The following is a 12973-nucleotide window of genomic DNA, read 5'->3' as shown; positions in this document are numbered from 1 at the left end:
TCTCCCAGGTTCAAGCAATTCTCATGTTTCAGCCTCCCTAGTAGCTAAGACTACAGGTGCACCCCACCACACCCAGCTAATTTTTATATCTTTAGGAGAGAGGAGGTTTCACCATGTTAGCCAGGCTGGTTTCTAACTCCTGGCCTCATGTGATCGACCCCCCTCGGCCTCCTGAGGTGCTGGGATTACAGGCATGAGCCATTGCCCCCAGTCGTCATTGGAATTTAATACATAATCAACTTGTCTTGGATACTCAGTAACAATGGAATACAAGCATTCTCTTGCTAAATTAAAGAGAAACTCCTTTAGTTAACAATCTAAAAATAGAATCTCTGATGCTATTTATAATAGATATTTGTGCTCCCTTCCTCTGTAAAGATCACTGGGATCTAAAATTAACCAAAATCTGCAACAGAGACCACTCACTTTTAAATCCTACTCTAGGGACCAAGTTTCTCTATTAATTCTAACCACTTCACTATTTGCACCAGGTTATTCTAGCTTGATTGGTAACCACCTTGAAAATATACCAGGCCGGGCGCAGTGGCTCACGCCTGTAATCCCAGCTCTTTGGGAGGCCAAAGCGGGCAGATCACGATGTCAGGAGATCGAGACCGTCCTGGCTAACATGGTGAAACTCTGTCTCTACTAAAAATACAAAAAAATTAGCCTGGGCGGTGGCAGGCGCCTGTAGTCCCAGCTACTCGGGAGACTGAGGCAGGAGAATGGCATGAACCCGGGAGGTGGAGCTTGCAGTGAGCCAAGATAGCGCCACTGCAGTCCCGCCTGGGCGACACAGAGAGACTCTGTCTCTCATAAACCTTGGAATCCAAAATTGCTAGTCCTCATTTTCATTTTATAAAACATACATTTTGATCCTCATAAATTGAACAATTTGCTGAAAATTGCCGCTTTGGGAGGCCGAGGCGGGCGGATCACGAGGTCAGGAGTTTCAGACCAGCCTGACCAACCTGGTGAAACCCCGTCTCTACTAAAAATACAAAAATTAGCTGGGCATGGTGGCGGGCGCCTGTAATCCCGCTACTCAGGAGGCTGAGGCAGGAGAATTGTTTGAAACCGGGAGGCAGTGATTGCAGTGAGCCGAGATCGCACCACTGCCCTTGAGCTTGGGCAACCGAGCGAGACTTCATCTCAAAAAAAAAAAAAACCTAAAATTTTGTGATCTATCAAATGATCTCTAATTTCACTGAAATAGGAAGGGTCTATCCTCTACACCACATGTTTAATACAGGTATACTGATGTGTGCCCTTGTCCAAGACATGGTTCCTCATGTATAAAACTTTGAAGGCTTTCATGGTAGTCCACTTTTGTGGTCAGGACTTCTTTCAGTATGGACCTTCTGATTAGTCTCTAGTTGGAGGTGCTAATCCATTATTCCTTTTTGCTTCAGTCTCATTAGAAGAGGGCACCAGACTGCTTTTCAATGTAGAAGCAAGAGGCAGCATAGGAAGGAAAGGGGGAGGCAACACTTTCTGAGAGCCTTGCTTCATGTCAGAAGCTGCCACTACACAAAGCTCTATTTTATCAATTTGGAATGAAATCTCAGAAAGATCAAGTATGTGTCAGAGAGCAAGTAAGTGGAAATGGGCTTCAAGCATGGTTCCATGTAGCTCTTAACCACCCTCTGTTCTTTTATCGTCTGTTAATATATGAAAGCACATATTTGTGTGTTTTTTGAAAGTGTTTTCAGAATCAGTGATAGGAGGAAATTTGTTGAAATGGTAAATACAGAACCTAGGCATCCCTGGGACTTTGCATGCTCAGGCCTGGTGCTGAGATCAGGAGGTGATTTTCCTCATTTCACAGCAGCCCTTGGAAGTGCAGGTGATGACATCCTGGACGCCGCCCATCTCCAGGCTCTGCTTTGAATTTGTTTCCATCTGAGGCTAATATTAGGTCAAATTTCCAATCTTCAGACTTTCCATTTTTAGCAATAAAAACCAAGTTTTACAATATCTGTTTTGTTCAAACTCTTCTCTGAGGTGATTCAATACCTAGCACATCTGGAAAACTAAAATTGCTTAAACTAACTGATTAAATGAAACAAAAAAACTCAATTTTTAGGCACCACCTGTTAATTTATTGGTTTGGATGTCTTAGTGTTGTTCTAATAAACGATTTGTTAGGTCTTGGTATGTGGTTAAGTTGGAATACAAGTAAGATACCTCCACACCAAAGGTCTAAAAAAATTCAGCAGATGGGTTCTTGGCTATTTTCCAAAACAACACAGTAATGTGAACACGTCAATAAATGTAACTTTTGAAAACCTTTTGAGCATACATGGCCTCCATGTAAATGGCATTTTTGGCACCGTCTAAAGTCATCATGTTGTAATAGTGTGGTACCAGCTGTGCACATACATTTATATCAGGGGATTACTAATGTCTGATTAGAATTCTTGCTTATTAATAAGATTTAGGGTAGAATAGAATGTGAATTATAGAAAGAGAAGCACAAGTATACAAACTTTTGAGAAAATGCCTTCACTGTTTCTAAATTAAATTTAATTTTCTTGTTTCACAGATGAGAAAATCAAAGCCCGTATCATCTGCTTCACGTCCCGCATTTACTTAACGCTGTAAGCATAGAACGTTGTTCCCAGTGACTACCCCTCCATCCCCAGTTCTGTGATTTCAGAGACAGTCGTGGTATCCTTGAGGGCAGAGACAGTAGTGGTATCCTTGAGGGCAGGAATTGTTTTTATTTTATTTTATTTTATTTTTACAATATTTAGCTTATTCCTAGTAGAGAGCAGTCAATGGATACGTTTTCCAAATTGAATTGACTTCATGTAAGTGAATTTTTTAATAACCACATAGCAAATTTACACAGTGAATATTACCTTTTCATAATGTCTGTTTTTTTATATTAATATTGATTTATCACCATTATACCTCTGTTAAAAACTCTTCGTAAATGAAGGATTTTGACACTGAAAATAAACTAATACATAGCATAGCACTGAAGTTTAAGAAAATTGTATGAAGCATTCAGTAAAAGCAAGCACTTACTACCCTGTCAGTCCAGAATGTAGTATTGTGCAATAGCCTTTAAAATGTATTGTTATAAAAATGTTGCTTAACTGGGCCCTTAGGAATTAATAATGGTTCTGAAAATAAACTAAATGGCTTCTTTTCCTTGGCCTCCATTTTTTTTTTTTTTTTTTTTTTTTGAGACAGAGTCTTGCTCTGTCACCCAGGCTGGAGTACAGTGGCGCGATCTCCGCTCACTGCAAGCTCTGCCTTCCGGGTTCACGCCATTCTCCTGCCTCAGCCTCTCGAGTAGCTGGGACTACAGGCGCCCACCGCCACACCCGGCTAATTTTTTGTATTCTTAGTAGAGATGGAGTTTCACTGTGTTAGTCAGGAGGTCTCGATCTCCTGACCTGGTGATCCACCCGCCTTGGCCTCCCGAAGTGCTGGGATTACAGGCGTGAGCCACCGCACCCAGCCTCCTTGGCCTCCATTTTATGTCCTAAATGGTATTTCTGTGTTCAGTCATCTTTTTTACTGCGAAAATTTGTCTAACATCTTGGAATTGCTTTGGGAAAGGATATTCTACCCATACAGTTGAATTTCTTTTTTTCTCAGAAGAGAGGAAATTGGGTTACCCACACCACCACTATTCTCATTCCAGACCAGGCCTTCTTTTTCTTGAAGTGCTCTTTGAGCCTATGTGGTTCCAGCATGAGTCTCCTTGGGGGATATGTTAGGGGATGCTGTCAGAACAACTACTTCTTGAGAAGTCCAAGGAACCGGCAGAAACCTTTACCAAAAAGATGATCAACTCAGATACTGCTGCAGTGCAAAAGGACAGGCAAGGAGAAAGTGTGAGTTACATACATGGTTCAGGCCAGCCAACTCAGGGTAATTTGAGTCTATCCATGCGAATACTAGCCACTCGCATTTTCACATAGTCCAAGAGTTGATCTGGGCTAGCAAAATTAATCTTATTTACTACAAGGAAAAATCTACGTTCTTAAAATCCATTTTGAACAAAAGTTTGAGTATACCCAGGTTGGAATGTGCTCAAGAGCAGGTATTAAGTCTTTTTAAGATTATTAGGCCATAAAGAGGTCTGCACATTAAATTCTACTGAGTTTTCCTAGAATGCTTTTTCTGACATTAAATTTGTAAATATGTTTTAAAGGTAAAAATATTGTTTGCTATTTCAAAAATAAATTATTTTTAGAAATTTTAAAGACTGTATTTTCATGTTAATAATTTACAGTTAAATCTCACCTCATTATCCTCATCTGTAAAATGGGATAGTAATAAATTTTGGTTGTAAAAATGAGGACTAAATGGTTTTTGCCATTATCACTTAGAACAGTGACTTGCAACGTAAGTTCTTCTTACTCAGCTCCTCACTCCCTGCAGTCACTGGAACTTTAATTTCCCTGGCCTATCAGGGGCCTTCAAGGGTCTCAGGAACACCCCCCAACACACACACACAAAAATAATACCTGAGGATTCAAATGAAAAAGGATGATTTGAAACAAACTGGATATTTTATCCACTCAGATGAGCTCTGGAGACATCCTGACAGCTTCTTTTTATTACTATTATTATTATTATCATACTTTAAGTTTTAGGGTACATGTGTACAATGTTCAGGTTACATATGTATACATGTGCCATGTTAGTGTGCTGCACCCATCAACTCGTCATTTAGCATTAGGTATATCTCCTAATGCTATCCCTCCCCACTCCCCCCACCCCACAACAGTCCCCGGTGTGTGATGTTCCCCTTCCTGTGTCCATGTGTTCTCATTGTTCAGTTCCCACCTATGAGTGAGAACATGCGGTGTTTGGTTTTTTGTCCTTGCGATAGTTTGCTGAGAATGATGGTTTCCAGTTTCATCCATGTCCCTACAAAGGACATGAACTCATCATTTTTTATGGCTGCATAGTATTCCATGGTGTATATGTGCCACATTTTCTTAATCCAGTCTATCATTGTTGGACATTTGGGTTGGTTCCAAGTCTTTGCTATTGTGAATAGTGCCACAATATACATATGTGAGCATGTGTCTTTATAGCAGCATGATTTATAATCCTTTGGGTATATACCCAGTAATGGGATGGCTGGGTCAAATGGTATTTCTAGTTCTAGATCCCTGAGGAATCGCCACACCGACTTCCACAATGGTTGAACTAGTTTACAGTCCCACCAACAGTGTAAAAGTGTTCCTATTTCTCCACATCCTCTCCAGCACCTGTTGTTTCCTGACTTTTTAATGATCGCCATTCTAACTGGTGTGAGATGGTATCTCATTGTGGTTTTGATTTGCATTTATCTGATGGTCAGTGATGATGAGCATTTTTTCATGTGTCTGTTGGCCGCATAAATGTCTTATTTTGAGAAGTGTCTGTTCATATACTTTGCCCACTTTTTGATGGGGTTGTTTTTTTTTCTTGTAAATTTGTTTGAGATTATTGTAGATTCCGGATATTAGCCCTTTGTCAGATGAGTAGGTTGCAAAAATTTTCTCCCATTCTGTAGGTTCCCTGTTCACTCTGATGGTGGTTTCTTTTGCTGTTCAGAAGCTCTTTAATTAGATCCCATTTGTCAATTTTGGCTTTTGTTGCCATTGCTTTTGGTGTTTCAGACATGAAGTCCTTGCCCATGCCTATGTCCTGAATGGTATTGCCTAGGTTTTCTTCTAGGGTTTTTATGGTTTTAGGTCTAACATGTAAGTCTTTAATCCATCTTGAATTAATTTTTGTATAAGGTGTAAGGAAGGGATCCAGTTTCAGCTTTCTACATATGGCTAGCCAGTCTTCCCAGCAACATTTATTAAATAGGGGATCCTTTCCCCATTTCTTGTTTCTGTCAGGTTTGTCAAAGATCAGATAGTTGTAGATATGTGGCATTATTTCTGAGGGCTCTGTTCTCTTCCATTGGTCTATATCTCTGTTTTGGTACCAGTACCATGCTGTTTTGGTTACTGTAGCCTTGTAGTATAGTTTGAAGTCAGGTAGCGTGATACCTCCAGCTTTGTTCTTTTGGCTTAGGATTGACTTGGCAACGTGGGTTCTTTTTTGGTTCCATATGAACTTTAAAGTAGTTTTTTCCAATTCTGTGAAGAAAGTCATGGTAGCTTGATGGGGATGGCATTGAATCTACAAATTACCTTGGGCAGTATGGCCATTTTCACGACATTGATTCCTCCTACCCATGAGCATGGACTGTTCTTCCATTTGTTTGTATCCTCTTTTATTTCATTGAGCAGTGGTTTGTAGTTCTCCTTGAAGAGGTGCTTCACATCCCTTGTAAGTTGGATTCCTAGGTATTTTATTCTCTTTGAAGCAATTGTGAATGGGAGTTCACTCATGATTTGGCTCTCTGTTTGTCTGTTATTGGTGTATAAGAATGCTTGTGATTGTTGCACATTGATTTTGTATCCTGAGACTTTGCTGAAGTTGCTTATCAGCTTAAGGAGATTTTGGGTTGAGACGATGGGGTTTTCTAGATATACAATTATGTCATCTGCAAACAGGGACGATTTGACTTCCTCTTTTCCTAATTGAATGCCCTTTATTTCCTTCTCCTGCCTGACTGCCCTGGCCAGAACTTCCAACACTATGTTGAATAGGAGTGGTGAGAGAGGGCATCCCTGTCTTGTGCCAGTTTTCAAAGGGAATGCTTCCAGTTTTTGCCCATTCAGTATGATATTGGCTGTGGCTTTGTCATAGATAACTCTTATTATTTTGAGATATGTCCCATCAATACCTAATTTATTGAGAGTTTTTAGCATGAAGTGTTGTTGAATTTTGTCAAAGGCCTTTTCTGCATCTATTGAGATAATCATGTGGTTTTTGTCTTTGGTTCTGTTTATATGCTGGATTATGTTTATTGATTTGCATATGTTGAACCAGCCTTGCATCCCAGGGATGAAGCCCACTTGATCATGGTGGATAAGCTTTTTGAGGTGCTGCTGGATTCAGTTTGCCAATATTTTATTGAGGATTGTTGCATCAATGTTCATCAAGAATATTGGTCTAAAATTCTCTTTTTTGGTTGTGTCTCTGACAGGCTTTGGTATCAGGATGATGCTGGCCTCATAAAATGAGTTAGGGAGGATTCCCTCTTTTTCTATTGATTGGAATAGTTTCAGAAGGAATGGTACCAGCTCCTCCCTCATACCTCTGGTAGAATTTGGCTGTGAATCCATCTGGTCCTGGACTTTTATTGGTTGGTAAGCTATTAATTATTGCCTCAATTTCAGAGCCTGTTATTGCTCTATTCAGAGACTCAACTTCTTCCTGGTTTAGTCTTGGGAGGGTATAGGTGTCGAGGAATTTATCCATTTCTTCTAGATTTTCTAGTTTATTTGTGTAGAGGCGTTTATAGCATTCTCTGATGGTAGTCTGTATTTCTGTGGGATCGGTGGTGATATCCCCTTTGTCATTTTTTTTTGCGTCTATTTGATTCTTCTCTCTTTTCTTCATTAGTCTTGCTAGCGGTCTATCAATTTTGTTGATCTCCTCAAAAAACCAGCTCCTGGATTGATTTTTTGAAGGGTTTTTTGTGTCTCTATTTCCTTCAGTTCTGCTCTGATCTTAGTTATTTCTTGCCTTCTGCTAGCTTTTGAATGTGTTTGCTCTTGCTTCTCTAGTTCTTTTAATTGTGATGTTAGGGTGTCAATTTTAGATCTTTCCTGCTTTTTCTTGTGGGCATTTAGTGCTATAAATTTCCCTCTACACACTGCTTTGAATGTGTCCCAGAGATTCTGGTATGTTGTGTCTTTGTTCTCGTTGTTTTCAAAGAACATCTTTATCTCTGCCTTCATTTCGTTATGTACCCAGTAGTCATTCAGGAGCAGGTTGTTCAGTTTCCATGTAGTTGAGCGGTTTTGAGTGATTTCTTAATCCTGAGTTTTAGTTTGATTGCACTGTGGTCTGAGAGACAGTTTGTTATTATTTCTGTTCTTTTACATTTGCTGAGGAGTGCTTTACTTCCTACTATGTGGTCAGTTTTGGAATAGGTGTGGTGTGATGCTGAAAAGAATGTATATTCTGTTGATTTGGGGTGGAGAGTTCTGTAGATGTCTATTAGGTCTGCTTAGTGCAGAGCTGAGTTCAATTCCTGGATATCCTTGTTAACTTTCTGTCTCGTTGATCTGTCTAATGTTGACAGTGGGGTCTTAAAGTCTCCCATTATTATTGTGTGGGAGTCTAAGTCTCTTTGTAGGTCACTAAGGACTTGCTTTATGAATCTGGGTGCTCCTGTATTGGGTGCATATATATTTAGGATAGTTAGCTCTTCTTGTTGAATTGATCCCTTTACCATTATGTAATGGCCTTCTTTGTCTCTTTTGATCTTTCTTGGTTTAAAGTCTGTTTTTTCAGAGACTAGGATTGCAACCCCTGCCTTTTTTTGTTTTCCATTTGCTTGGTAGATCTTCCTCCATCCCTTTATTTTGAGCCTATGTGTGTCTCTGCACATGAGATGGGTTTCCTGAATACAGCACACTGATGGGTCTTGACTCTTTATCCGATTTGCCAGTCTGTGTCTTTTAATTGGAGCATTTAGCCCATTTACACTTAAGGTTACTATTGTTATGTGTGAATTTGATCCTGTCATTATGATGTTAGCTGGTTATTTTGCTTGTTAGTTGATGCAGTTTTGTCCTAGCTTCGATGGTCTTTACAATTTGGCATGTTTTTGCAGTGGCTGGTACCAGCTGTTCCTTTCCATGTTTAGTGCTTCCTTCAGGAGCTCTTTTAGGGCAGGCCTGGTGGTGACAAAATCTCTCAGCATTTGCTTGTCTGTAAAGGATTTTATTTCTCCTCCACTTATGAAGCTTAGTTTCTCTGGATATGAAATTCTGGGTTGAAAATTCTTTTCTTTAAGAATGTTGATTATTGGCCCCCACTTTCTTCTGGCTTGTAGAATTTCTGCCGAGAGATCAGCTGTTAGTCTGATGGGCTTCCCTTTGTGGGTAACCCGACCTTTCTCTCTGGCTGCCCTTAACATATTTTCCTTCATTTCAACTTTGGTGAATCTGACAATTATGTGTCTTGGAGTTGCTCTTCTCAAGGAGTATCTTTGTGACATTCTCTGTATTCCCTGAATTTGAATGTTGGCCTGCCTTGCTAGATTGGGGAAGTTCTCCTGGATAATATCCTAAAGAGTGTTTTCCAACCTGGTTCCATTTTCACTGTCACTTTCAGGTACACCAATCAGACGTAGATTTGGTCTTTTCACATAGTCCCATATTTCTTGGAGGCTTTGTTCGTTCCTTTTTATTCTTTTTTCTCTAAACTTCTCTTCTCACTTCATTTCATTCATTTCGTCTTCCATCACTGATACCCTGTCTTCCAGTTGTTCGCATCAGCTACTGAGGCTTGTACATTCGTCACGTAGTTCTCATGCCATGGTTTTCAGCTCCATCAGGTCCTTTAAGGACTTCTCTGCATTGGTTATTCTAGTTAGCCATTTGTCTAATTTTTTTTCAAGGTTTTTAACTTCTTTACCATTGGTTCAAACTTCCTCCTTTAGCTCGGAGTAGTTTGATCTTCTGAAGCCTTCTTCTCTCAACTCGTCAAAGTCATTCTCCGTCCAGCTTTGTTCCATTGCTGGTGAGGAGCTGTGTTCCTTTGGAGGAGGAGAGGTGCTCTGATTTTTAGAGTTTCCAGTTTTTCTGCTCTGTTTCTTCCCCATCTTTGTGGTTTTATCTACCTTTGGTCTTTGATGATGGTGATGTACAGATGGGTTTTTGGTGTGGATGTCCTTTCTGTTTGTTAGTTTTCCTTCTAACAGTCAGGACCCTCAGCGGCAGGTCTGTTGGAGTTTGCTGGAGGTCCACTCCAGATCCTGTTTTCCTGGGTATCAGCAGCGGTGGCTGCAGAACAGTGGATATTGGTGAACCGCAAATGCTGCTGCCTGATCATTCCTCTGGAAGTTTTGTCTCAGAGGAGTACCTGGCCGTGTGAGGTGTCAGTCCGCCCCTACTGGGGGGTGCCTCCCAGTTAGGCTACTTGGGGGCCAGGGACCCACTTGAGGAGGCAGTCTGCCTGTTCTCAGATCTGAAGCTGTGTGCTGGGAGAACCACTACTCTCTTCAAAGCCGTCAGACAGGGACATTTAAATCTGCAGAGGTTACTGCTGCCTTTTGTCTGTGCCCTGCCCCTGGAGGTGGAGCCTACAGAGGCAGGCAGGCCTCCTTGAGCTGCGGTGGGCTCCACCTAGTTTGAGCTTCCCAGCAGCTTTGTTTACCTACTCAAGCCTCGGCAATGGCGGGCACCCCTCCCCCAGCCTCGCTGCCACCTTGCAGTTTGATTTCGGACTGCTGTGCTAGCAATGAGTGAGGCTCCGTGGGCGTAGGACCCCCCGAGCCATGTGCGGGATATAATCTCCTGGTGTGCCATTTGTTAAGCCTGTTGGAAAAGCGCAGTATTAGGGTGGGAGTGACCCAATTTTCCAGGTGCCGTCTGTCACCCCTTTCTTTGACTAGGAAAGGGAATTCCCTGACCCCTTGCACTTCCTGGGTGAGGCGATGCCTCGCCCTGCTTCAGCTCACACAGGGTGCGCTGCACCCACTGTCCCACACCCACTGTCCGGCACTCCCCAGTGAGATGAACCCGGTATCTCACTTGGAAATGCAGAAATCACCCGTCTTCTGCATCGCTCATGCTGGGAGCCATAGACTGGAGCTGTTCTTATTCGGCCATCTTGGCTCCATCTCAAAAATCTTATATATGTCTTGGCATGTGTATAGAACTCCCTATTAGTGCTATCAAAAATGTAAATGTGCATTCTCTTTGACTCAAGCAATTCCATTTCAAAGAATCCATCCTATAGAAATAATGCACATATCCAAAGAATATGTAAAAATATTAGCTGCAGTATTGTTTGTAGTAACAAAAAGTGATTTGAGGGACAACTTAAATGTTATCAATAAGGCAATTGCTCAATAAATTAATGATATATACCTTTAATGAAATACTATGTAGTAATTAAAAGGAGTGAGGCAGATATGAAAGATCACCAAGACAGAATATTAAATATAAAAAGCAAAATGTAGAATAATAGTAGGATTTCATTTATGTATATAAATGATATATGTATATGTATATGTATATAAACAGAGAAATATCTGGAAGGGGCTTTCACTTTGCATGGCTTGAAGTTTTATATTAAGCATATATGAGTGTGCTATTTGTATAATATTTAAAGATTTTAAACACAGAAGGGAGTAAGGGAAACGGGAAGAATACCACGTGCTTCTGCTATGTCCTGTGTCACAGAAACATCAGCAGCCACAACCAGACAGCCACACCCACCCCGGGAGCAAGAGCTGGGAAGAACCACAGCCCTGCGAGAGAAATCTCACAGGCCAATGGACCAAAAAGGGACATGCAGTTTAATATTTTTCCTGCAAAATGCAATTTTAAATAATGACAATAGATCTATAGAGAGATATAAAATGAAAAATCATTTATACCAAATCTTATGCCTCTTATTCACTCCTTAACTCATATACTAAAAATTCTTCAGCATGCAGGCTCTGTAACAGGCCATGAGTGTGCGTTTTTAAAACAGAAAGCAAAGCAGCCTAGCACATTATAGAAACTGGGAACCAGCCAGTACCACTACTCTTCTCCAATCTACTTAGCTTTCTCAAATGAATTTTAGGGGAAAAGCATATTTTAAGGAACAAAAATAAGTGTTGTTGCAAAAACATGGGGCAAGAAATTCCCCGAAAAGATCTACTACATAAAACTGCCTTAGATATCACAGTTCATGCCAATCAAAAATCTTACAAATAACTAGATGGGTATGTGTATCATCAGTATGCTCTAGCTGTGCTGGCTCATAGCACACGTTCATGAATAAACACATGAGTGAGTGAATGAATGAATGAGTTAAAGCTTAAGGGAACTCCCCTGAGATTTTCAATATTGTCATTTTTCAGTCGTTAAGTTGACGTGGTAGCATAGTGCTAGCTAGTGGTCATATAAACTGTTATGAGTCAGTAGCATTGTGTTATCATACTGATCTAATTGTCTTTACTCTGCTTTTTCTCCACACGTATTTACTTATGAATGCCAAGAGGCAAGGAAAGCTTAAAGCTCAAGAATTTAAATACAGATTCCCCTTTGGGAATGACGGAGATGAGCTTCTCCATTTCTTCCACAATCTCCTTTATAACAAAAATAAAAGATGACAAATTCTTTTGTGGGCAATATAACCATACAAGTAACACACATTACCAATAATCCAAATACTTAAAATGCATTCATTTCTTACACTACAATATTTATGAAAACATAAATGCAGATTCTGAGTAGACTTTTTTTAGCTGATGGAATTTAAATATCTTATGATTTCAAACATGGCAATTTTAAAAAAATAGTCACAAAAGTTGTCCTATTCGTTTGTCACTGACTTTTTTAAGAAAGCTCAACCCGCTCTCCCTCTCCCTCTCCCTCTCCCTCTCCCCACAGTCTCCCTCTCTTTCCACGGTCTCCCTCTCATGCGGAGCCAAAGCTGGACTGTACTGCTGCCATCTCGGCTCACTGCAACCTCCCTGCCTGATTCTCCTGCCTCAGCCTGCCGAGTGCCTGCGATTGCAGGCACGCGCCGCCACGCCTGACTGGTTTTGGTGGAGACGGGGTTTTGCTGTGTTGGCCGGGCCAGTCTCCAGCCCCTAACCGCGAGTGATCTGCCAGCCTCGGCCTCCCGAGGTGCCGGGATTGCAGACGGAGTCTCATTCACTCAGTGCTCAATGGTGCCCAGGCTGGAGTGCAGTGGCCTGATCTCAGCTCGCTACAACCTACACCTCCCAGCCGCCTGCCTTGGCCTCCCAAAGTGCCGAGATTGCAGCCTCTGCCCGGCCGCCACCCCGTCTGGGAAGTGAGGAGTGTCTCTGCCTGGCCAACCATCGTCTGGGATGTGAGGAGCCCCTCTGCCTGGCTGCCCAGTCTGGAAAGTGAGGAGCGTC

At 41.4% G+C, this 12973-nt stretch overlaps 1 long non-coding RNA gene and 1 pseudogene across 3 annotated transcripts in view; one reads left to right on the top strand and one right to left on the bottom strand.

Moving 5' to 3' along the window:
- The window catches only part of ODAD2P1 (outer dynein arm docking complex subunit 2 pseudogene 1), a 76294-nt pseudogene that overhangs the window by 25093 nt on the left and 38228 nt on the right, over positions 1-12973 (bottom strand). The gene's annotated exons all lie outside the window — the stretch shown is intronic.
- On the top strand, positions 2460-12513 carry LOC102724245 (uncharacterized). Of its 2 annotated transcripts, none has more exons than XR_001747397.2 (3): positions 2460-2600; positions 3659-3851; positions 12477-12513. It is a non-coding gene; the product is annotated as an uncharacterized LOC102724245 (long non-coding RNA). The 2 variants fall into 2 exon arrangements; XR_428682.4 differs by lacking the exon at positions 12477-12513 and adding an exon at positions 11206-11597 and having other exon boundaries at positions 2461-2600.

This window comes from Homo sapiens, chromosome 10 (genome assembly GCF_000001405.40).
Source record: "Homo sapiens chromosome 10, GRCh38.p14 Primary Assembly".
NCBI classification, from domain to species: domain Eukaryota; kingdom Metazoa; phylum Chordata; class Mammalia; order Primates; family Hominidae; genus Homo; species Homo sapiens.
This window is presented reverse-complemented; position numbering and strand designations above follow the sequence as displayed.